The sequence below is a fragment of the Homo sapiens genome, chromosome 12 (genome assembly GCF_000001405.40).
Source record: "Homo sapiens chromosome 12, GRCh38.p14 Primary Assembly".
Lineage (NCBI taxonomy): Eukaryota > Metazoa > Chordata > Mammalia > Primates > Hominidae > Homo > Homo sapiens.
This window is the reverse complement of record NC_000012.12, coordinates 19,029,783-19,055,162: the sequence shown is the minus strand read 5'-3', so window position 1 is coordinate 19,055,162 and position 25,380 is coordinate 19,029,783. Positions and strand designations below refer to the sequence as shown.

The window sequence follows — 25,380 nt, the reverse complement described above, 5'->3', positions numbered from 1 at the left end:
AACCAGGAAGCAGGAAGAACAGAACCATCTCATGGCAAAACTTGTCTGGTTAGCGCACCTCTTCTCTTTTATTGCCACTGAAATGAAATCATCTCTACAATGTTTTCTTCATTCTTGTATTATTCACTCAATATTCACAGTCCCAGAAAAGAGAGAACTGATTGGCTGGAGTTAAGTCACACAACTGACCCTTGGGACTACCAGAAAAAGGATCTGGAACACTTGGTTTCCAAAGACGGGCAATTGCTTTCCTTGCCACGACCACATGCAATGGGGAAGGGGCATTTTCCCAGAACGAAATTGGCGGAAGGTGAATGGATTGGGCAACCAGTAAAGACCAACGTCCATGAAGGAACTAATATTTTTTGGTTGACTTTTTCACCAGTTGAAATATTGTAGGGAAGGAGAGTCTAAAGAGAACTTTATAAATCACAGGAAAGAATAATTTGGTTTTTTTTTTTTTTTTTTTTTGAGACAATGTCTTGGTTTGTTGTTTAGGCTAGAGTTCAGTAGTGCCTTCATGGCTTGCTGCGGCCTCAAACTCCTGGGCTCAAACCATCCTCCCCCTTCAGCCTACCAACCAAGCCCAGCTAATTTTTCTTTTCTTTAAGATTTTTGTACAGATGGTTTTGCTATGTTGCCCCGGCTGGGTTTAAACTCCTGGCCTCAAGCAATTCCTCAGATCCTGGGATTACAGGTGTCAGCCACTGCCTCCGGCTTTGAGGAAATAATCAAGGAAATAATTTTAAATAACAGTATGTCTGCCCAACAAGAATTTACAATAGTATACACAAACAAGGAATTCCGAAGTGAGCATAAGAGATAGTCTCTTTGTTTTTTTCATTGTCATTTATTTTACATATAGGGTGGTGCTGAGATGTAGAAAAGGAGGAGAGAGGAGAGGAAATAAATTTGAATGGGAGAAAAAGACAAGAGAGGCAACATGGGGAACAGATATGGGTGTGTCAGCATTTTACATGTGTCATCTGCAGGTCTAATTCTAGTTTTGTGGAAACTTAGAATTGCTTTTCAAACCTTTGAGAGCATCTGCTTTACCTTTTCTCTGTCCAACTTCCATCTTTCTCTCTGGCAGCTAGGGTTTTCTGCATATTGGTTCAAGCATTCAAGCTAGTGAAAAAGCCACATATTTTTACTCTCCACTCTTAGGCAATTTTTCTCTCCATCAGAGCCAGTTTGTGCACGCTGTTCATGGGCTCCAGTGGTAAGAAAGATTCATTTTTCATAAGGGAACATCAAAATTAAGAGAAGTGTAAAACCATTTAGCATCCATTGTTCTTTTTTATAATTAGCAAGAATGGGCTGAGGGCAAGATAAAGCATATATATTTCTGACATCTTTAGATTCTTTTTTTTTTGGACACAGATGACAAGGCAGATTTGGCTGTTTCTTGTCTAATTTGACAAGCTGAATATTGTCAGGCAGATGTCTTCATTAAGTCTGTGTAGGAAGAGGGAAGAGAATCAAAGGGAAGAAGTAGTGAGCTTTCCTTCTGGTACTCTGGATAGGGGTCTGATATCTTGCAGGGTGATCTGTGAGTACAAGGGTAGTGTAAAGTGTTTTGTGTAAAATATTTTTTTAGGATTAAAAAGACCTGTGGCAATCATCTATTGGGTCCTAACACCTCATTTTGTAGTCTTGGAATATGCAGTGTTATGACCCACTTCAGGAAGCAGTGACAATTGCAGTATTTAGGTCAGGAAGCATAGCAGAGGGGTATATGGTGAGGTTACTCAAGGTTGGGGAAACCTGAAAATGAGTTGGTGTTACATCTTCACCAGTAGTGAGGTTTGATCTAAAAGATATCTACCAGTTAAGTCATTTCTGTAAATACTATCTGTTTAATTTCAACCTTGTTCATTCCATGCAGAGGAGATAACTATCTGACGGTGAGCTCTTTTGCCATTTAGTATTCCTCTTTTCCTTTCCTCTATCTCTACTGTCAGTTGGAAGCGCAGCAAAATCTTCCCTCTGTCATTTCTTACATTTGCTTCTTTTATGTCCCTAAAAGCTTTCAAATCCCCCTTCTCAGGATTTATTCCTATTTTTGGTTCTTTGGTTGTTTTCAACTCAACTCACATCCCTCACATAGATCATATTATAACGATTCTTTAAGAAGCAAAGCATGTTAGCAACTCCTGAGTCAGTTTTCTTTCTGTAAGCAACTAGGTTACCTCAGCCAGACTGGGTGAGAAAATGGCATCACAGCAAGAAGCTTATATTGTGCTAGTTAAGTACCAGCAATGACCAGTAGCATGCAATCAGAGACTGGGGATGAAACAACAGTGCAGCTATTTGGGACAAATTTCTGCTCTATTAATTCAGTTATACATTGTGATAACTAATATGCATCCATGACCATTGACAGCAGGTGATCAAATTATGCCTCTCAATCATCATGATAATCTAAGACATTATAAAAGCAGCGGGTATAAAATGCCATGTGCTATCTGAGTAACCAGAGAATCAGGGTTAAGAAAATAGTGCTGCCAGGAAGAGCCATTGTTCTTTTCTTTCCTCCTTTCTTCTATGTTTTAAGTGTTGGTTCCTTCCCAAACTACTAGAAAAATGCCTACTGTACATTCTGAGCACTGTGCGTCTGACACTTCTTTCCCTCCCCAGGTAGCACGAATCTTGAGAAATGAAGTAGAGAAAATGGCATAACACTTTGGAATAGCACAAGGATATGGATCAGGGAGCATCGTCGCATTTAGAAATGAATGGACTGATAGGAGGAGGGATGAGGGAGGGAAGTAAGTAATGGACAATGACCACTCATGTTAAAACACAGCACATACAAATATGAGACAAAATAAATGTAAAGGGTTTTCGCTTAAAATTACTTGTAATATGTCAGAAAACATTTATCAATTTGTCAAACAAAAGATTAAAGGTAATGCACTTATTAATGCATTTAATCAAAAAGAATTTATCAAATGTTCATATGCCAGGTACTGCTTTAGTTGCTGGGAGATACAGCAGTGGACAAAGCAAAGTTTTTACTCTTATGGTGCCTATATTGCAGTAATAGTAAGAGAAAACAATAAAGAAACAAGTAAGAGCCGGACGCGGTGGCTCATGCCTGTAATCCCAGCACTTTGGGAAGCACAGGTGGGCGGATCACCTAAGGTTGGGAGTTCAAGACCAGCCTGACCAACATGGAGAAACCCTGTCTCTACTAAAAATACAAAATTAGCCGGGAGTGGTGCTGCATGCCTGTAATCCCAGCTACTTGGGAGGCTGAGGCAGGAGAATTGCTTGAACCTGGGAGGCGGGAGGCGGAGGTTGCAGTGAGCTGAGATTGTGCCATTGCACTCCAGCCTGGGCAACGAGAGTGAAACCCTGTCTCAAAAAAAAAAAAAAAAAGAAACAAGTAAATAGATAGCATGTTAGTTGGTGCGGAATACTACAGAGAAATAAATCAAGAAGGGGCAAAAGGAGCAATGGTAGTGGTGAAAAGTTAGCTATTTTACATAGAATTCTTCAAAAGAACCCCTAATGAGAAGATGGCATCTGAGCAGAGATCTGAAGGAAGTGACAGAGCCATCTATGTGGATATGTGGGCAAAGAGAGTGCAGGCAGAGGAAAGAGCAAGTGCAAAATCCGTAGGGAAAGATTGTGTTTGGTGTATTTGAGGAAAAGCAGTGAGATGCTGTGGCTGAGCATGAGGAATGTAAAGGAGAGTGATAGGGGATGATGTCGGTAGATAGGTGGGTGGGCGAAGCAAGGCAGATCAGATCATGTAAGTACTCATGTAGAACTTGATGCTTTAGAAAATCTTCTGGCACATATACACCATGGAATACTATGCAGCTATAAGAACGATGAGTTCATGTGCTTTCCAGGGACATGGATGAAGCTGGAAACCATCATTCTCAGCAAACTAACACAAGAACAGAAAAACAAACAGCGCATGTTCTCACTCATAAGTGGGAGTTGAACAATGAGATCACATGGACACAGGGAGGGGAACATCACACGTGGGGGCCTGTTGGGGGGTGGGGGGCTAGGGGAGGGATAGCATTAGAAGAAATATCTAATGTAGATGATAGGCTGATGGGTGCAGCAAACCACCATGGCACGTGTATACCTATGTAACAAACCTGCACGTTCTGCACATGTACCTCAGAACTTAAAGTATAATAATAAAAAAAAAGAAAAAAAAGAAAATAAATCTTCTGGCTGCTATTTTGAGATTACACTGTTGGGGCTGGGGACAGTACAGAAGTAGGAAGATAGTATAATACTTAAAGCTAGAGATGATGTGACTTGAACTAGATGTCACATCAGTTGAGGTAGTGGAAAGTGGTTGGCTGTTACAAATGAAATTACTGTGAACATTTATAGACAAGTCTTTGTAAGAACTTAGGCTTATGCTTCTCTTGGGTAAACACTCTGGAGTAGAATGGCTGGATCACATGATAAGTGTATATTTAAGATTTTAAGAAATTGCCAAATGGTTTCCAAAGTGATTGATCCAGTTTATATTCTCACTAACAGTGTGTGAGAGTTCTAGCAGCGCCACATCCTTACTATCACTTCTTACAGTCTATTTTATTTTGTCAGTTCTAATAGGTATGTAGTGGTATCTCATTGTGGCTTTAATTTTCATTTCTCTAATGACTAACGATGTGGAGTGTTATTCCACGTGCTTATTTGTCATCATACATCTTTGGTGAAATGCTGTTCAAATCTTTTGCCCATTAAGAAAAATTGGGTTGTTTGTTTTCTTATTGTTACTTTTTAAGAGTTCTTTATATAATCTGGATACACATCCTTATTAGATGTGTAATTTACAAACATTTTCTTTCTCTCAGTCTTTTGCTTTTTAAAAAATTATTTATTTTTATTTTATTTATTATTGGTATTATTTCTTGAGATGAAGTCTCACTCTTGTCGCCCAGGCTGGAGTGCAATGGCACAGTCTTGGCTCACTGCAACCTCCACCTCCCGGGTTCAAATGATTGTCCTGCCTCAGCCTCCTGAGTAGCTGGGATTACAGGTGTGTGCCACCACGCCTAGCTAATTTTTGTATTTTTAGTAGAGACGGGGTTTCACCATGTTGGTCAGGCTGGTCACGAACTCCTGACCTCAGGCAATCTGCCTGCCTCAGCCCCCCAGAGTGTTGGGATTACAGGCGTGCGTCACCAAGCCCGGCCTAAAAAAATATTTAAACAGTGACTTTTGAGGAGCTGTCGTTTTAAATTTTGAAATAAAAATTAAAAAAGAAAAAATTGGGTACTGAGCTTAATACCTGAGTGATGTAATCATATGTACAACAAACCTCCGTGACATGTGTTTATCTATGTAACAAACCTTCACATGTACCCTCATACCTAAAATAGAAATTTTAAAAAAGAAAAAACTTAAAAATAAAATGAAGAAAAAAATCTGGGTTCAGTACCCAGTCTAGGATCACATGCTGTACTTAGTTGTCATATTTCTTTAGTCTCATTTTATCTGGACTAATTCTTCAATCTGCAGTAGTTGCTCATGTCCTTGACATTTTAAAAGAATACAGGCCAGTTATTTTGTAGAATGCTTCTCAGTTTGGGTTTCATGATGTTTCCTTATGATTAGATTTGGGTTATGCATTTTTGGCTGGAATACTGTAATACAAAAGTGATATTGCTTACTTCTCAGTGCATTGTATCATGAGACACACGAATTTGATTTGTCTTAATACTGGTGATGTTAACTTTGATTACTCAGTGAAAGTGTTCTGCATTGCAAAGTTTCTATTTTTCTCCTTTTAATTAGCAAGTATTTTCTGGGGAGATAGTATACTGTAGGACTATGTAGATCTCTGATTCACCCACTAGTTTAAGTATCGTTGACGACTTTTGCCAAAGTTGATTATCAGATTTGTGACATAAAAGCTTTTTTTCTTTTCTTTCTTTCTTTTTTTTTTTTTTGAGACAGAATCTTACTCTGTCACCTGGGCTGGAGTGCAGTGGCACAAACATGACTCACTGCAGCCTTGACTTCCTGAGTTCAAGCAACACTCTCACCTCAGCCTCCCAAGTAGCTGGGACCACAGGCATGCACTACTACACCCGAGTAATTAAAAAAAAAATTTTTTTATTTTGTAGATACAGAGTCTCACTGTGTTGCCCAGGCTCTTCCTGTATTTTCTATATTAGTATGAATTCATGCATTTGTATTTTTTTTAATGGGCTTTCATTTAATATAATTATTTTCCTGCTGAATTTTTTCCAGATTTGGACACATAAGACATTTTCAAATTGGCTCCTGTGGTTTTTTTTTGACATTCTTATCATTTTTGAACCAATTCCTTACTTTCTGCCATAATAAGATATGGTTCATCTTATACTTTCTGGGTCCCAGGCTGGAATTAGTCATTTCTCCAAAGAGCACTGGTTCTTTTCAATGAAAATTGTAGTTAGAAGTCAAAATCTGGGCACGTTTTCATTGCTTTTGGGAGGTGATTACTTCTAGGATTTCTCAGAATACAGTGCTGAGAAATATGTATGTATGCACACATATGCACACCTATACCCTTAATCTATTTCTTTACCTCTCTCCCTCTTTTAAAATATATACACTAAATGTCATATGTTAAATATCTAACTACAGCTCATTTTCTTTAGAATGAAAGTATAGTGTCAAAATGCCGTGTTAAAAAGTTGTAAGTAGATCTCGGAGATATTGCATGTTTGGTTCCAGAACCACCACAATAAAATGAATATCGCAATACAGTGAGTCTTATAAAGTTTTTGTTTTCCCAGTGCATATAAAAGTTACGTGTACACTATACTGTAGTCTATTAAATGTGTAATAACATTGTGTCCAAAAAAACCCAATGTACGTATTTTCATTAAAAAACACTTTATTGGTCGAGCACGGTGGCTCATACCTGTAATCCCAATACTTTGGGAGGCCGAGGTGGGTGGATCACTTGAGGTCAGGAGTTTGAGACCAGCCTGGCCAATATGGTGAAACCCCATTTCTATTAAAAATACAAAAATTAACTAGCTGTGGTGGCATGCACTTGTAATCCCAGCTACTTGGGAGGCCGAGGCAGGAGAATCGCTGGAGCTGGGAGGCGGAGCTTGCAGTGAGCCGATTGTGCTACTGCACTGCAGCCTTGGTGACACAGCAAGACTCCGTCTCAGAAAACAAAAACCAAACAAACAAAAAAACAAAAAAGCTTTATTGCTAAAAAATGCTGGCAGTCATCCGAACCTTCAGCAAGTCATAGTCTTTTTGTTGGATGAGGGTCTTGCCTCAACGTTGATAGCTGCTGACTGATCAGGGTGGTGGTTGCTGAAGATTGGAATGGCTTTGGCAATATCTTAAAACAGGACAACAATGAAGTTTGCCACACTGATTGACTGTTTTTTTTTCATGAAAGGAAAATACTCTGCTGCTGCTTTATCAGCTAAGTTCATGCAATCTTCTAAACCTTTTATTGTCATTTCAATAATGTTCACATATCTTCACCAGGAGTAGATTCATCTCTAGAAATCCCTTTCTTTGCTCATCCATAAGAAGCAACTCCTCATCCATTCAAGTTTTATCATGAAATTGCAATAATACAGTCACATCTCAGGCTCCACTTCTAATTCTAGTTCTCTTGCTATTTCCACCACATCTGTAGTTACTTCCTCCACTTGTCTTGAATACCTCGAACTCATCTATGAGGACTGTAATAAACTTCTTCTAAACTCCTTTTAATGTTGATTTTTTTGACTTTGTTCCTTGCATCACGAATGTTGTTAATGGCATCCTAGAATGATGAATCATTTCCAAAATGCTTTCAATTTACTTTGTTCACATCCATTAGAGGAATCACTAACTATGGCAGCTATGGGCTTATGACACATATTTCTTTCTTTTTTAAAAAAATTTCCAACTTTTATTTTAAGTTCAGGGGTACATGTGCAGGATGTGCAGGTTTGTTACATAGGTAAACCTGTGCCATGGTGGTTTGCTGCACAAATTATCCCATTACCTAGGTATTAAGCCCAGCATCCAGTAGCTATTCTTCCTGATGCTCTCCCTTCTCTTGCTACCCTCAGACAGGTCCCAGTATGTGTTGTTTCCCCCATGTGTCCATGTGTTCTCATCATTCAGCTCCTACTTACAAGTGAGAACCTAAGGTATTTGATTTTCTGTTCCTGCGCTAGTTTGTTAAGGATAATGGCTTCCAGCTCCATCCATGTTCCTTCAAAGGACATGACCTCGTTCCTTTGTATGGCTGCATAGGGACTCCATGGTGTATATGTACCACATTTCCTTTATCCACTCTATCATTGATGGGTGTTTAGGTTGATTCATGTCTTTGCTATTGTGAATAGTGCTGCAATGAATAAAGACATGCATGTGCCTTTATAATAGAATAATTTATATTATTTTGGGTATATATTCAGTAACAGGATTGCTGGGTCAAATGGTATTTCTGCCTCCAGGTTTTTGAGAAATTGCCATACTGTCTTCCACAATGGTTGAACTAATTTACACTCCCATCAACAGTGAACAGTATAAATGCATTCCTATTTCTCCACAACCTCGCCAGCATCTGTGTTTTTATTATTTTTTTTTTTTTTGGTTTGTTAGTAATAGCCATTCTGACTGGTGTGAGATGGTATCTCATTGTGGTTTTGATTTTCATTCCTCTAATGATCAGTGATATTGAGCTTTTTCTCACGACATATATTTCTTGAATTAAAAAACTTGGAAGTCACAATGAATTCTTGATCCATGAACTGCAGAATGGATGTTGGGTGAGCCAGCATGAAAACATTAATCTTCATGTATGTCTCCATGAGAGCTCTTGGGTAACCAGGTGTATTGTCAATGAGCAGTAATATTTTGAAAGAAGACTCTTCCTGAGCAGTAGGTCTCAACAGTGGACTTAAATATTCAGTAAACCATGCTGTACACAGATGTGCTGTCATCCAGACTTTGTTGTTCCATTTATAAGAGTAATTCTTAAGGATTTCCAGAATGATAAATGAACATTGGCTGCAACTTAAAGTCATCAGCTGCTTTATCTCCTAACAAGAGTCAGCCTGTCTTTTGAAGCTTTGAAGCCAGGCATTGACATCCCTCTATCTATGAAAGTCCTAGATGGTATCTTCTTCCAACAGAAGGCTGTTTCATCTACACTGAAAAATCTGTTGTTGAGTGTAGCCCCCTTCATCAATGATCTTAGCCAGATCTTCTGGATAACTTGCTGTAGTTTCTCCATCAGCACTTTCTGGTTTACATTGTACTACTATGTTATGAAGATGGCTTCTTTTTTTTAAACTCTTAAGCCAACATCTGCTAGCTTCAAACTTTCCTTCTGCAGCTGCCTCACTTCTCTCAGCCTTCCTGGGATTGAAGAGAGTCGGGGACTGGCCCTGGATTAGGCTTTAGCTTAAGGGAATGTTTCGGCTGATTTGATCTTCTCTCCAAACCACTAAAACTTTCTCTATCTCAATAAGGCTGCTTTGTTTTCTTATCATTCATGTGTTCACTGGAGTAGTACTTTTAATTTTCTTCAAGAATTTTTCCTTTGCATTCCCAGCTTGGCTAGCTGTTTGCACAAGAGGCCAAGCATTTGACCTGTCTCAGCTTTTGACAGGCCTTCCTCACTAAGCTTAACCATTTCTAGCTTTTGATTTAAAGAGAGAGACATGGGACTCTTCCTTTCATTTGAGCACTTGGAGGCCATAGCAAGGTTATTACTTGCCCTAGCTTCAATATTGTCCTGTCTCAGGGAGTAGGGAGGCCTGAGGAGATGGAGAAAGACAGGGAACGGCTGATCAGTGGAGCAGTGAAAACACACACGACATTTATTGATTAAGTTCACTGTATTATATGGGCATAGCTCATGGTGCCCCAAAACCACTACAGTAGTTACATCAAAGGTTACTGATCACAGATCAACACAGATATAATAACACTGAAGAATTCTGAAATATTGCAGGAGTTACTGAAGTGTGCTACAGGAACATAAAGTGAGTACATGTTGTTGGGAAAATGGTGCTGGATAGACTTGCTTGAGTCAGGGTTGCCACAAACCTTCTGTTTGTAAAGAACACAGTATCTGGAAGTGCAATAAAGGGAAGCACAATAAAGTGAAGTACGCCTGTACTTGAATTGCCCTTTCCTGCCCCTACGCCCTCCTGCGTGTTTATGTTATTCTTTTGAAATATAACAAGGTTCATTTGTTTTAGTTTGCACTCCCTCTTAGGAATAAAATGTATTCGTTGTTATTTTATAAATATTAAAACATGAACATGGTAATTGTCCAAGTGATAAAAATGATAGGGAAGTATCACTTCTCCCAAGTTTTCCATCTTCTTTCTATCTCAGGAGTATGTTTTTTTAAGGTTTAAATCTGACTGTGCTCCCCTTTGTTTAAAACGCTGTTATCACTTGTCCCAAATCCTGGAAGTGTCTGTATGATGTGACCTGCCTGATTTCTAGCTTTGTCCTGTGCTGTGCCCCTCCTTGCTCATTGTGCATACAAACGTTCTTTTAGTTCTTCGAATGATGCTACTCCTTGCTTTCTTATGACCTTCTCACATACTACACCCTCTACCTGCAATACCTGTTTCCTCCTCTTATTAACTGTGTTAACAGCAATTCACACTTTAGGCCCAAATTAAATGCCATTTTCTCAAGGAAACCTTCTCTGTCCTTGTCTCTTCTTGCCCAGTGAAAAATACAGTAGATTAGATCTCCCTGTTATTTTATCCTCACAATGTTTCCTGCGTAGCACAGATCACAGTTTGCCATTATAATGCTTATTTGTTTGATTACTTTTTTTTTTTTTTTTGAGACAGAGTCTTGCTCTGTTACCCAGGCTGGAGTGCAGTGGTGAGATCTTGGCTCACTGCAACCTCTGCCTCCCAGGTTCAAGCAACTCTCCTGCCTCAGCCTCCTGAGTAGCTGGGATTACAGGCATGCGCCACCATGCCCGGCTAATTTTTGTATTTTTTGTAGAGATGGGGTAGATGGGGCTTCATCATGTTGGCCATGGCTGGTCTCGAACTCCTGACCTCAAGCGATCCTCCTGCCTCAGCCTCCCAAAGTGCTGGGATTACAGGCATGAGCCACTGTGCCTGGCCTGTTTAATTACTTGAATCATGGCTATCTGGTCCACCATGCTGTAGGGTCCATGTACAGCAAATATTTGTTGAATTAATAAATGAGGAGTAGAAAAAACTGTGAAGTTTCATATGTTTATTGTGGCACTATTCACAATAGCAAAGACTTGGAACCAATCCAAATGTCCAACAATGATAGACTGGATTAAGAAAATGTGGCACATATACACCATGGAATACTATGCAGCCACAAAAAATGATGAGTTCACGTCCTTTGTAAGGACATGGATGAAATTGGAAATCATCATTCTCAGTAAACTATCGCAAGGACGAAAAACCAAACACCGCATGTTCTCACTCATAGGTGGGAATTGAACAATGAGAACACGTGGACACAGGAAGGGGAACATCACACACGGGGGACTGTTGTGGGGTGGAGGGAAGGGGGAGGGATAGCATTAGGAGATATACCTAATGCTAAATGACGAGTTAATGGGTGCAGCACACCAGCATGGCACATGTATACATATGTAACAAACCTGCACATTGTGCACATGTACCTTAAAACTTAAAGTATAATAATAATAATAATAAAAAAAGAAAAAACTGTGAAGTTTAAGTTAGTATGTAGTTTCAGAAAATAGATGACTTCTTATTTGTAGATATTTGAACTGATTCACAGATACTTTAGTTTTGTTCACAAATTTGTATTTATTTGTCCCATCGTAGTTGTACGAAATCTCTGTGGCCTTGCATACTCCACAATGGAAAGTTGAGGTCTGATTGGCACATTCTAAACCATACCTTTTACATAACAAAATTAGAGGAAAAAGAGATACTTAAGAACAGAGGGGCAGGTAAGTGAAATAATTACGGTATTTTCTTATTGCTAAGTATAGGAAGCAGACAGAACAAAGTGAGAAGAAAGCTATTGACATAACACACATCAGCTATTTTGCTATATGACTGAAATGCCTTTTCATTGTTTTTTCCATGTTTTCCAATATGTTTGCAAATATGCTTATAGATTTTGTTTTTGTTTTTGCTTTTTTTTTAGGTGGAGTTTCTCCCTTGTTACCTGGACTAGAGTGCAATGGCACAATTTCGGCTCACTGCAATCTCCGCCTCCTGGGTCCAAGCGATTCTCCTGCCTCAGCCTCCTGAGTAGCTGGGATTACAGGCACCCACCACCACTCCAGGCTAATTTTTTTGTATTTTTAGTAGAGATGGGGTTTCACTCTGTTGGCCAGGCTGGTCTTGAACTCCTGACCTCAAGTGATCTGCCCGCCTTGGCTGCCCAAAATGCTGTGATTACAGGTGTGAGCCACCATGCCAGGCCTTTATAGATGTTAAGACAGAATAAATGCCTTTAATTTATATGATTAATATGTATGATTTAATCCATGATAAATCAAAGCAACCGTTCCATTTTAAAAGATCAAGTTAGGTTAAGTGCAGAAGAATTTGACTGAGAAGCTATGGGAGCTTAAAGATTCATGGCCCTTCTTTCCATGGCTCATTCCAAAGTCCTGGGAAGCACCCTAGCAAGATGTTCACACAACCATCTAATTTTGTAAAATTTGCAAACTTTGAGCTGCAATTGGTTAAGATTGCTGCTTCGCTCAGACTTTCCCTCCTCATGCTTACCCTGGTGTCTGGCATTTGGGGGATGGAGTTGGCAGTCACTTCTGTGTGTAATGAGGCATTTCTTCGAAAGAATCACTTCTAGAAAACTTCTGCTGTTCACCTGGCATTGTGACACATAGGGGCAAGACCAAAAATCATGTTGTGATATGAGTGTGTCCCAAAGCACCCAGCCCTGAGGTATGCGCACAGTAGAAAAGAAGAAATGATTTAAAAAGATGAAGCGAGAACTAGTCTGTGGAAAATTCTTCTAATCTTCAGAAATGTGGAATTAGAAGCAGAGAATTCCCTTATCATTACTTAAGCAAAATGGCTATTCTTTCCTCTCAGGAATATACTTAATAATGCAGATTGTACAGAGGTAAATACACTATATTTTTTCTGTTGTTGGATGAGAATCATGCAAGATAAAATTTATCTAATTCCTGTGTTCATACTTTATAAACTCTAGGAGTTTTACAAATAGCGATCATGTCTCTTGGCATACTGCAGAGTACTTCCCAATATGTCAGATCACTTACAGTGTCTGACATATTGTGTCCTTATAAAGTTGAGCAGTTATTAGCCAGGTGCAGTGGCTTAAGCCTCTCATTCCAGTTACTCAGGAGGCTGAGGCTGGAGGATCACTTCAGCCCAGTAGTTGCTAGCCTGGGCAACCTCGAGAGACCCTGTCTCAACAATAAAATAAAAAATAATATAAAATAAAGATGAGTGGCTCTAGATGAAACAGCACACAAAACTGCTAACAACGCAGCAATACACTGAAAATAAGTGCTCAAGTGACATAATTCTTACAAACACCCATCAACTTAGTCAATATATGTAGTATTGGAGTAGTTTGATTATACATTTAGGTAGCTCAATATAATATGGCAATAATTTAAAACTGTATTTGAATTCCTCTTGTGTTACACTTAATTTTGTATGGTTTTCCAGTGTATGAAGCCAAAAAATAGGGAAAACGCATCTATTAGAGAGGTTTATTGGGCAATTAATAAAATATTATGCTATTTTTCTGTCTTAAGTGATGCTTAATGTATGTATTGTTTTTTTAATTGTATTTTGTTGCAATTTATTTTCTGTTTCCAAACATATATTCATTTTTGTTTCTAATTTTTGATATGTAAATTTTTGTTGTTTTTCTTAAAGGGTACCTCTTCAAGATGGACCACTTCAGGCCCCATAAAACTTGACTCCCTGTGGTTAGATAAATTAAAAATGTTTCTGTCCTGTGAAAGCTGGGTATAGTGAGCCACCTTTTCCAAAGTACTCAGACAAAGAAATGGTTTTTCTGTTAATTATCAAGATAATTAAACACACACACACATGCACACACACACACACACACACACACACACACACTGCCCTTCCTCAGCTTTGTTCTCCAATATTTACCAGATAATTCTATCCGTTTTGTGTGTGAGTTCAGCTTCCATTTATGTTGTGTATGTTTGAATTATAAATGAACAGAAATTGAACTATAACAAAAAGGAAGAACTTTTAACCACCCCATCCTTCCATGATGGGTCTTCTGAAATTTCCTTTGCCAAAGGTAGGCAGCATCCTCCAGAAGAGAAGTCGGAGCTTTAAGCCAGCTCAGAAAAACAGGGAGATGGAGCAGGATCGAGGACTCAAACAGAATAAGTGAACGTTGGGAGAATCCTACATTATAGAAATAGATAACTCTCAGTATTGGTTTTAAAAATATGGCTAGATAACACCATGCCTGTAGGATACAAAAGGCAAATACATAGCTAGAGCTTATCAGATGCCTAGGAATAACCCATTGAATACACAAAAGCAAAAAAAAAAAAAATCACTGACTTTAGTTTGAGAAATTATAAGAGCCAGAGGCTTAAACATCTATGTAAAATAAACAAAGGAAATAAAAAGAATAGAAGACAAAAGATCAACTGAATGGAGGGCATATCATTAGGTGGGAAGCTCTCTTGAAATTATTTGAAAAGAACAATTAATTCTCTCCTGACAAATGTGCCATGGGAAGCCAAGGCCTCTGGTACTGCTCCTGTTTTTCTCTAGCCTCAGATTTTGGTCTCCCTGCCACGACGCTCATATATCTAGTGAGCAGAAACATTGTTCTTCCATAATTCCCACAGAGGCTTTGCGACTGGATCTCTTTGAGGCTACTACCTACCTCTCCTTTTGGGGCTTATTTATTTCTGCTTAGGTACAGCTGGGAGTTGCAATTTCCAACCGGCAGCTCAAGTGTCTAAAGCTCTTTGATGTTTTCATCATTGCAGAAAAATTAAACTAATCCACAGATTATGAAATACATGCTAGAAGAGCACTTGAGAGAAAAGATAAAGAAAAATCCCCAAATTGAGAACAGAGTACAAAGTGCTAAAGTACTCAAGTGTTGTTGAGAACTCCAAAACAGCATAAAAGTCTACCAAATACAAACTCCTGAAACTTCATCATTCTCTCTTACACATATTTTTACTATCCTTTGGAACTTAAAAAAAATACGATTGTTTAGCATTTTTGACAGCCACCAAGCGAACAGAATAAAATGTAAAATTCAATTTCAAAAAATTGATAATTCTGAGCTGCATTAAGAAAGAAAGTATTTTAGCAAAACATCCCAAAGTCTCTGCTCTACAAGTTACCTCCTCTGGAGAGCTGTAATAATATGACCTGTTCTGCTGAGTGTCATGTGATGCTTGTTTTGAAAATATTTTGCATTTCTTAGATGAAGGGCACGCTTTAACACTTCAGATTACAATAACACGGCGTTACATTTCAGCTACTTCAATTCACATCAGTCTCACAATTTGGCAGAAACATTTTTCATCCAATCTGCATTTGTTCTGGTCACCCTGAGAATTCTATTTTTAGAAAAAGGTCTTTAAAAAGGAAGCACAAACACAGAGTTTTAAAAGATATTATCTTGAAACCTATTCATGTTTTTCAGATTTCTGTCCTATGAGATGCTAGTTAATTTTTACGGAGGGTCCTATCTTGCCTGAACTGGAAAAGCAAAAAGGGAAACAAAAGAAAAAGCAATATAGAACAGTAAACTCAGGGAAATCTTTTCTCTTCTAACTCTTTCAGGAGTAGAGAAAAAGTAAGGGTGGAGAATTATTTGTAGGATTATATTTCATATTTTGATTTAAATTTTACAAGGCCTGTTTATAGAGAAAGAAAAAAAAGACCCTGACTACCCTGAAATGCTTATTAAATCTAACAGCATACCTGCTACAGATTAAATGCCAGTAGCTCCTTGACTCATAACACTTTTGACATCCCAATATCTCTCTGCACCGAAGTATATCACTTTTATTGCAGTAAATCAGAAAAACATGGGAGTTTGACACACAGGTTGGTTAAAAGCAAACAAACCTAAACAATTAAACATTTTTTGAGAAAAAACTTTGAGCTTGCAAAGCTTACGACACTTGTCATAAAACACAACCCTGATTCTTTGATAACTGCGTGCATCACTGCTTAAAGAGCACTGGAATGGTACTTTCAGTGGAATTTTTAAAAAAGAAATCTTACCTTGTGATCTCAAAAGAGTAAGAAAGCTCTCTTTTGCTAAAGGGAAGTTCTTCTAGACAGATACTTCACCATAGTGAGGTATTTATTGTAGCTCATTTTTATGAATCCAGCAGCCTCAGCTCAGAGGCATTTTTGGAGAGGCTAGAAGAGGGTCCAGTTAAGGACTCGGACCTGAGGCAGAGGGGAGACTGGTGAGGGAATCAACAGCTGAAGGTGCAGCAGCTAGTGGAAAGGAGCTTTATTTGGGAAGACACTGTTCTCCTGGGAGGCCAATCAGGCTTATAGTGAACGACTGTGGAATTTAGAGGCTTGTGAATGTGGGCAGGCATCAAGGCAGGTTTCAGAAAAAGGCTCCAGTCCTGTGTCGTAAATGGAGGGCAAAAGGGAACCCTGAAACTGTAGCCAGAACTTGGCCCTGGACGATAGTGCTGCAGTGGGCAAATCTGTGGTCTAGCGGCCTGGGACATGCCAGGCAGAGGACATCAAACTTAGAGCAGGAAGATTGATTTCACACTCTGCCGCCTGGTACATCTGAGCCAAGCCTAGTTCTATATAGAACCTGCTCAGGCTAGATTCATCTCTGGAGCTTCAGCTGTTGGTGTCAGGGCCTGCAACTGGGAAACTGGAAGAAGTTTCCGATAAGTCCACTTGTTTCGTCTCTCCCAAGCCACTTCTGTATTATTCTGATCTATTTTTCACCAAGAAGTCAGAGAGGTCCTTCAAAATGTGCCTCATCATTTGACCCCAAACCTGTTCAAATTCTGTCAATGTATTCCTTAGGACATTAGGCTAACACCAAACCTTAACGTGGCCTACCAATCTCAGTATGATTGAGCTTTCCTAATTCATCTGGCCACTCTCCCTATTAATTTCTGCCCTTCAGCCATAGTGGCCTTTTCCCAGCTGTTTAGTGCCCATGCTCCAGCTTTACACTGTCTACTCTGCCTGAATTTCTTTTCCCCACTCATTTGCTGAAGAAGAAACTTGTCCTGCAGCTCTCAAGCCAAAAGTCACTTCCTTATGGAAGTGGAGACTGGGTGAAGTAAGATTTCTTTCATTTTCAAAGCAGTTATCACAACAGTGATCAAATAATTAAGTGTATAATTAGTTGCTCAATGTTTGTCTCCCCTGCTAAGACTGAAAGCTCTGCTAGACTAAGACCACTTTGATGTTCCATTCCACTGTACACTCAGTGCCTACCGATTAAAGACCTTTTGCAAAGTAGGTGCTTAGAAAATAGTTACTGAATAATTGAGTGCATGAAATAAGGGATGAGCATCTCACTATCACATCTTAAATCACAATGGGATCCTTTCTGCACATTTGCAAGGCTGGCCCACTGTAAGGATCAGTCTTGGCCAAGCATTCTATCACATGACATTACAACAAAGAGTGTAGCTTAACAACAAAATAAACCATATCGATGGCTTGCTTCATTTACTAAATTTATTTTTCCCAAATTCTTTTCTTAGAGTTGGACTAAAATTGTTTTTTAGAGAATGAAGGAGAGAGAACAAAAGAGGCAACAAAATACCTCATCAGTCTTCAGGAATGGATAAATCAAATTGAAACCAGCCCAATTCCCACAGAGCTGATATTTTTGGATTTTTTGAATAAACATAGAAATTGGTCCTCCAGGTCTTAAAACATGAAACTTACATTTGTCTTATCTGAGTTCCATCCTCAGGAAACCAACCCTCAGGCAAGGGACTGAAACGTACCAAAACACTACACCCAGACAATGAGATGCCCGACCTCCCATTAGTCAGGATTGCCTCCTTTCCCCTTCCTAATTCCTGTTTTCCAGCACGTACTTACATTCCTCCTCCTGATACATAAAGCCCTCAATTTCAGTTGGTAGGGGAGACAGATTTGAGACTGATCTCCTATTTTCCTGGGCTGACATCGCATGAATAAAAAGGCTTCTTTCCTGGCAATCCTCCTCTCACTGATTGGCTTTCTGTGTGGCATAGCAACGACCTCACCCCTGGTGTTTGGGTAACAAAATGAACACTGTGTTGGTGGCTTTTTCCATGTTCAATCATGAGCTGCTAAGTTTAAAGTAGCTTTCCACAAAATCGCATCAGTCAACAAACTGTTACTCTCATCAACCTAGAAGCTTTGGAATGTTATAAGAGGCCCTTATCTCACCTCCCTGTGGTAATATTGGAGTTGAAGTGCAGCAGCTGACATTGTACCAGTCCACAAATGGAAAAGGAAAATGTGTGCAGGGTTTCCTGACAACTCTGCTCAAACACTGTCAAAAACTACTGCATGTGATGTAGGAGTTGCAAATAGCTATCAATTCAAACTCTAAAATATCTCTTGAATCTGTTCTCTCTTCCTACTTCTGTTCATATCCCTACTTTCACTACCTTGATTTGGACCCTTTGTCATTCCTTGTCTGGGCTATTTTTTTTTTTAAGACAGAGTTTCGCGTTGTTGCCCAGGCTGGAGTGCAGGGGCACAATCTTGGCTCGCTGCAACCTCCACCTCCCGGGTTCAAGTGATTCTCCTGCCTCAGCCTCCCAAGCAGCTAGGATTACAGGTGCGTGCCACCATGCCCAGCTCATTTTTGTATTTTTAGTAGAGATAGGGTTTCACCATATTGGCCAGGCTGGTCTTGAACTCCTGACCTTGTGATCCACTCTCCTCTGCCTCCCAAAGCGCTGGGATTATAGGCATGAGCCACCATGCCCTTCCTGTATGGGCTATTTTTAACAGTTGTATGTTTTTTCTACCTTTTACGTTTTCTTTCTCTAATCTTTTCCCCACCTTGCAGCCAGAATTAGCTTTCTAAAATATAAGTACAGTCATTTAATTTTCTTAAAAAATTTCTATGACTCTTGTTTACATGAGTGATTTTAAAACTTAAAAATAACAACTAAGCTCTTCTTCCAAGTTGAAAATCTAAAAGAGATACATAAGAGAGAAGAAGTGCAGTGAGGTGGAGTGGTGGGGGCGGTGTGCAGAAACTTGACCTTTTGACCCACCCTGTGCTTCCATTAGGGCACTTTTGGGAACCTAAAAGTCTATTGAATGAAAAATAGCTGGCCTCATAAAAGCCAGTCTCTTTGGACAAACATCCATGAGTCTTCATAATCTGACCACACTTCATTCTTCCAACATAACCTCTCACTAGGGGTTACATAATCCACCCACTCATAATTCTCCAGTACTCCCATACTCCATGTGTTTTCATTCATTTCTACTTGGCATATTCTGTTAGTGCTGCTTGGAAAGGTCATACTCTGTTGGACAATTTCGGACTTAGTTTGATTAAAATCCCTTCTGGAAGTCTTTTCAGACTTCCCCAATCAGAACTGGTCTCTCTCCACCACTCAACTTTGGCTCTGTACTTAACCCCATCACAGCACTTAGCACATTGTATTGTCTGTCTTCCTACTTGATGTCAGAAAATATTTTAATTCATCTTGATAAAAGTAGTGTCTTCCTAACACAATGCCTGGCTTATAGTTATGCATTTGCTGAATGCAAGTTGATTTTATCAGGCTTTCTCAGGAAATAAAATTCCTAGGGATGGATTCAATATAACTTTTTCCTCACCACCATGTCCTTCCCTATCACAAAACATACCTACACACTTAAGATACTGTTTTTCTTTTCTCCCTGATTTTAAGTGTGATATTATGATTTACAATAAGAAGTATATACTAGGTCTTTGTAGTTTCCTGGCACACAGCTCCTATGAGTCTTGGAATTTGAGAAGTGGTTGGTGTCTTTTGTGTGCTAATGAGATGATTGGTGGCTGGGGCTCCTGGAAAGTGTCCAGTGGGGGCTTGTTGCCAGGGTGAACCAACCACGTGATTACAAGGTTGAAACTTTTAGCCCCACCTCCTGACCTAAGGGAGGTGAGAAGAACTGGAGATTGATTCAATAAGCAATGGCCAATGATTTAATTAACGATGCCCAGTGAATCCTCCCCTAAACCTCAAAAGGAGAAGGTCTGGGGAGCTTCCAACATAAAAGTGCTGAAAGGGTGGCACATCTATTGGGGGCATGGAAGTTCCACATCCCTTCCCACATACCTGAGCCTATGCATCTCTTCTATTTGGCTTCCTGAGTTGGATCCTTTTTATAATAAATGGGTAACAGTAAGTAAAGTGCTTTCCTGAGTTCTGTGAGCCGCCATAGCAAATAATCAAATCTGAGGAAGGGGTCGTGGGAACCTCTGATTTACAGCCAGTTGGTCAAATTACAGGTGATAACCTGAAGTATCAAGTGGTAGTGTGGGGCAGTCTTGTGGGAGTGAGCCCTTAAAACTGTGGATCTCCAGGTAGATTGTGACAGAAGCTAAATTGTAGGACACCAGTTGGGTCTGCAGAGAGTTGGAGAATTGCTTGGAAAATCCCACTCGTCTGTTGTCAGAAGTGAAGACATTTGAATACAATTATTATGTATCAATTTTAAAAAGACACCCTTTCTGAAAAGAAATAGATGTTTTAGAAGATGATGTAGTTTGGCTTTGTGTCCCCACCCAAATCTCATCTCGAACTGTAATCGCCACGTGTTGAGGGAGGAACCTGGTGGGAGGTGATTGGATCATGGGGTGGTTTTCCCCATGCTGTTCTCATGATAGCAAGTGAGTTTTCATGAGATCTGATGGTTTAAAGTGTTTGGCAGCTTCCCCTTCCCCCTGCTGCCATGTAAGATGTGCTTGCTTCCCCTTTGCCTTCCACCATGATTGTAAGTTTCCGGAGGCCTCCTCAGCCATGTGGAAGTGTGAGTCAATTAAACCTCTTTTCTTTATAATTTACCCAGTCTCAAGTAGGTCTTTATAGCAGTGTAAAAATGGACTCATACAGAAAATTGGTACTGAGAGAAGTGGGGCACTGCTATAAAGATATCTGAAAATGTGGAAGTGACTTCGGAACTGGGTAATGAGCAGAGGTTGGAACAGTTTGGAGGGCTCAGAAGATGACAGGAAGATGTAGGATAGTTTGGAACTTCCTAGAGACTTGTTGAATGGTTTTGACCAAAATTCTGATAGTGATATGGACAATGAAGTCCAGGCTGAGGTGGTCTCAGATGTTGTATTAGTCCATTTTTTGCACTGCTATAAAGAAATACCCAAGACTGGGTGATTTATAAAGAAAAGAGGTTTAATTGACTCACAGTTCCCCATGGTTGGGGAGGCCTCAGGAAACTTACAATCACGGGAGAAGCAAAAGCAGACATGTCTCACATGGTGGCAGGTGAGAGAAGTGAAGTGCAAGCAGAAGAAAAACTGCCACTTTTAAAACCATCAGATCTTGTGAGACTCACTCACTATCACAAGAACAGCATGAGGGAAACTGCCCCCACAATCCAATAACATTCCATTAGGTTTCTCCCTTGACACATGCAGATTACAATTCAAGATGAGATTTGGGTGAGGACCAAGAGCCAAATCATATCAGATGGAGATGAGGAATTTATTGGAACTGGAGCAAAGGTTACTTTTGCTATGCTTTATCAAAGAGACTAGTGGCATTTTGCCCCTGCGTTAGAGATCTGTGGAACTTTGAACTTGAGAGAGATGATTTAGGGTATCTGGTAGAATAAATTTCTAAACAGCAGAGATTCAAGATGTGACCTGGCTGTTCCTAAAAGCGTTAAATCATATGTGTTCACAAGGAGATGTTCTGGAATTAGAACTTATGTTTAAAAGGGAAGCAGAGCATAAAAGTTTGGAAAATTTGCAGCCTGATCATATGGTAGAAAAGAAAAACTCATTTTCTAGGGAGAAATTCAAGCAACGAGCTGCAGAAATTTGCATAAGTAAAGAGAAGCTGAACGATAACAGCCAAGACAATGGGAAAAATGTCTCCAGGGCATTTCAGAGATCTTCATGGCAGCCCCTCCCATCACAAGCCCAGTGGTCTAGGAGGAAAAAACGGTTTTGTGGGCCAGGCCCAGGGCCCTGCTGCTCTGTACGGCCTTGAGACATGGCGGCCTGTGTCCCAGTTGCTCCAGTTCCAGCTGTGGTTAAAATGGGCCAAGGTACAGTTGGGTCATTGCTTCAGAGTGTGCAAACCCCAAACCTTGGTGGCTTCCAGGTGGTGTTGGGTATGTGGGTATGCAGAAAACAAGAGTTGAGCTTTCGGAGCCTCCATCTAGATTTCAGAGGATGTACGGAAATGCCTGGAAGTTCAGGCAGAAGTCTGTTTCAGGAGTGGAGCCCTCATGGAGAAGCTCTACTAGGGCAACGCAGAGGGGAAATGTGGGGTTGGAGACCCAACACAGAGTCCCCACTGGGGCACTGCCTAGTGGATCTGTGAGAAAGGGGCCATCATCCTCCAGACCCCAGAATGGGAGATCTACTAACAGCTAGCACTGTGCACCTGGAAAAGCCACAAGCACTCAACACCAGCCCATGAAAACAGTCTCAGAGGCTGTACCCTGCAGAACCACAGGGACAGAGTTACCCAAGGCCTTGGGAACCCATCTCTTGCATCAATATGCCCTGAGTGTGAGACATGGAGTTAAAAGGAGATTATTTTGGAGCTTTAAGATATAAAGATTGCCCTGTTGGGTTCCTGACTTTCATGGGGCCTCTAGCCCCTTGGTTTTAGCTGATTTCTCCCATTTGGAATAGGAGCATTTACCCAATGCCTATATCCCCATTTTATCTTTGTAGTGGCTAACTTGCTTTTGATTTTACAGGCTCATAGGTGGAAGGGACTTCCCTTGCCTCGATGAGACTTTGGACTTTCACTTTTGGATTAATGCTGAAATGAGTTAAGACTCTGGGGGACTGTTGGGAAGGCATCATTGTGTTTTGAAATGTGAGAAGGACATGAGATTTTGGAGGCACTAGGGGTGGGATGATGTGGTTTGGTTCTGTGTCCCCACCCAAATCTCATCTTGAACTGTAATCCCCAGGTATAGAGGAAGGGACCTGGTGGGAGGTGATTGGATCATAGGGGCAGTTTCTCCCATGCCGTTCTCATGATAGTGAGTGTGTTCTCATGAGATCTGATGGTTTAAAAGTGTTTGGCAGTTCCCCCCACTGCTTCCTGCAGCCATGTAAGATGTGCTTGCTTCCCCTTTGCCTTCCCCCAAGATTGTAAATCTCCTGAGGCCTCCCCAGCCATGCAGAACTGTGATTCAATGAAACCTCCTTTCTTTATAAATTACCCAGTCTCAGGTAGTTCTTTAAAGCAGTGTAAAAATGGACTAATATAAAAGACATTAATATTCTCTTGATTGTTGGACCAGACTTTGGGTCACTAAAAAGATTCTCATGAAGTCACTTCTGAAGAGCTACTGGAGGAGAAAATGTAACCGTTAGTGTTAAGCCTTAAAATAAAAGGTATTTTAGATAAACATGAAGAGAGACAGAATTTTTCTTCCTTGCATGGAATATAGTGAGTATGAATTCCTCAAAACCCAAGACTTAGATATGTAAGGAAGGAAAATTATTAAAATGTTTTTTAAATTCCAATTTGATATCTCTCTAGAGACTCTATTCTTCCTAATGGAAGTAACCATAATTTTAGTCAATTTCTGGCAGTCCTTCACTTCATTTTCCCTCACTGAATTTAACTAACCTCATGGCCCCAGGGAAGTAGGAGGTACCCGGGCCATGGTCAGTAGTTGTACACGCTGTCATCTGTGAGATTGTCCTGTGTGGTTTCCAGACTTAGTCCCTGCTTTCCAGTAGTTTCCATTGAAATACTTATGTTCTTACTAATCCCCAGCTGTATGACTCAAGGTCCTTATGGAGCACCACGCCCTTGTCATGACCACAAAATTCCTTCAGAGGTCTTCATTCCGTCAACTAATTCTGTGCCTTCCATGGGGGCTGTTGTTAACCTAAACCAGTTTGGTTTTGCACAGCCTTAGATTATTTTAGTATACAGTAGTAACAACCATGAAATAGTGTCACTCTCCAAAAATTATGCCACAAATACAGACCTTACTGAAAAAAATACTTAATAGTGAGCAGACCCCAAAATATTTATACTAACTGTTCTGTAAGATTAATGAAGTCCTAGCTCTCTGTTCTTTGGGTGCTCCAACTACTTCTTTGTATGAAAAGTTTACATGAAGTATTTACTTGAATGCAACAATAGCCAGAGGCAGCAGAATCCTGTGCCCATAAGTTGGCATCAGGAAAGCAGGAATTTTCTGACTCAATGATTGGACACAGGTTCATTTAAGGGTGAAGTTTTCAGGTGTTATCCTTAAGGAGACAGATTATAAATCTGGGTGGATTTTCTCATTCTGTTCATTGAACAAGTTATCTTGAAGTTCACTAATTTCCACAATGACACCCCATTTTTAACATTTATTATGCCAAGTAGAAAAGCTTCTAATATTGATGGAGACATGAATAGCAGAAAGTGTATGTTCATATTGACTGTCTCTGAAGTGTGAGCTTTCTGATTGGAATGCCAGCTGACTACTCCTGAGATTTTAGTTCGTGATCTGGGTACCTAACCGAACCTTGGGTTACAACTGAAACCAAAATCTATATAATATTACATTGGTTATGCTGAAAGATTTCAAAATATGTTGTAGACATGCAAAGGCACAGGAAAACTTGAAAGCCTTCCACACAATTCTGCCCGGTGGTTTTGCCTCAGGTCCTCTCTGTTCTTGGCATCCCAAACAGTCCTTTGTCTTGCTGACCTCCTGTCAGAAGTGCAGAGAGCCTCTGCGAGGTTTCACCTCCCAGAGTTTTGGGCAGAACATTTGCACAGGATTTCTTTGCTCTGATCTCTAAGTAGGGAAATCATGCATAGCAGAAAAATAATTTTACAAAATGCAATAGTAAGCATCTGGTACATAGTAGGAGCTCATTTAGGATTATTGTTTGGATGAACGAATGATTGAATAGATGAAAGTGTGATATCAAAAGACCTCATGTTTGTGGATAATAAGACACAGGCAAAGGCATGGCAACCTTATGCATACTAAAAACATCTAGGTGATTGACAGAATTTGCTTCTGTAGAAATGATCATAGAGAAAACAACACACTGCCAAAATCTGTTGAGACAATTAAGATGAAGGGTCTACAGTGACTGCTTCCCATCTGTTCTTTTGAATATGAAGTCCAGGATCTCTGAGGTATCCTGATGGGGACAGAGAACTGCTATTCTGACAGTGGAGATGGGGAGAAAGCCATT

General features: G+C 40.0%; 1 long non-coding RNA gene across 1 annotated transcript in view, besides 2 other annotated features; it reads right to left on the bottom strand.

Moving 5' to 3' along the window:
- The window catches only part of LOC107984527 (uncharacterized), a 32,110-nt gene extending 13,776 nt beyond the window's left edge, over positions 1–18,334 (bottom strand). Inside the window, exon 1 of the long non-coding RNA XR_001749033.1 lies at positions 18,063–18,334. This is a non-coding gene — a long non-coding RNA (uncharacterized LOC107984527). The remainder of the gene's footprint in view (positions 1–18,062) is intronic.
- Positions 18,034–18,328: a silencer, noted in NCBI's record as "tiled region #14790; HepG2 Repressive non-DNase unmatched - State 24:Quies". NCBI's record gives its function as "represses a minimal TATA promoter and a strong SV40 promoter by Sharpr-MPRA in HepG2 cells {active_cell/tissue: HepG2}" and the evidence as "EXISTENCE:reporter gene assay evidence [ECO:0000049][PMID:27701403]".
- Positions 23,205–24,404: an enhancer, noted in NCBI's record as "P300/CBP strongly-dependent group 1 enhancer chr12:19183693-19184892 (GRCh37/hg19 assembly coordinates)". NCBI's record gives its function as "activates an origin of replication core promoter dependent on BRD2, BRD4, P300/CBP, MED14 and CDK7 cofactors, with strong dependence on P300/CBP, by STARR-seq in HCT116 cells {active_cell/tissue: HCT116}" and the evidence as "EXISTENCE:reporter gene assay evidence [ECO:0000049][PMID:35650434]".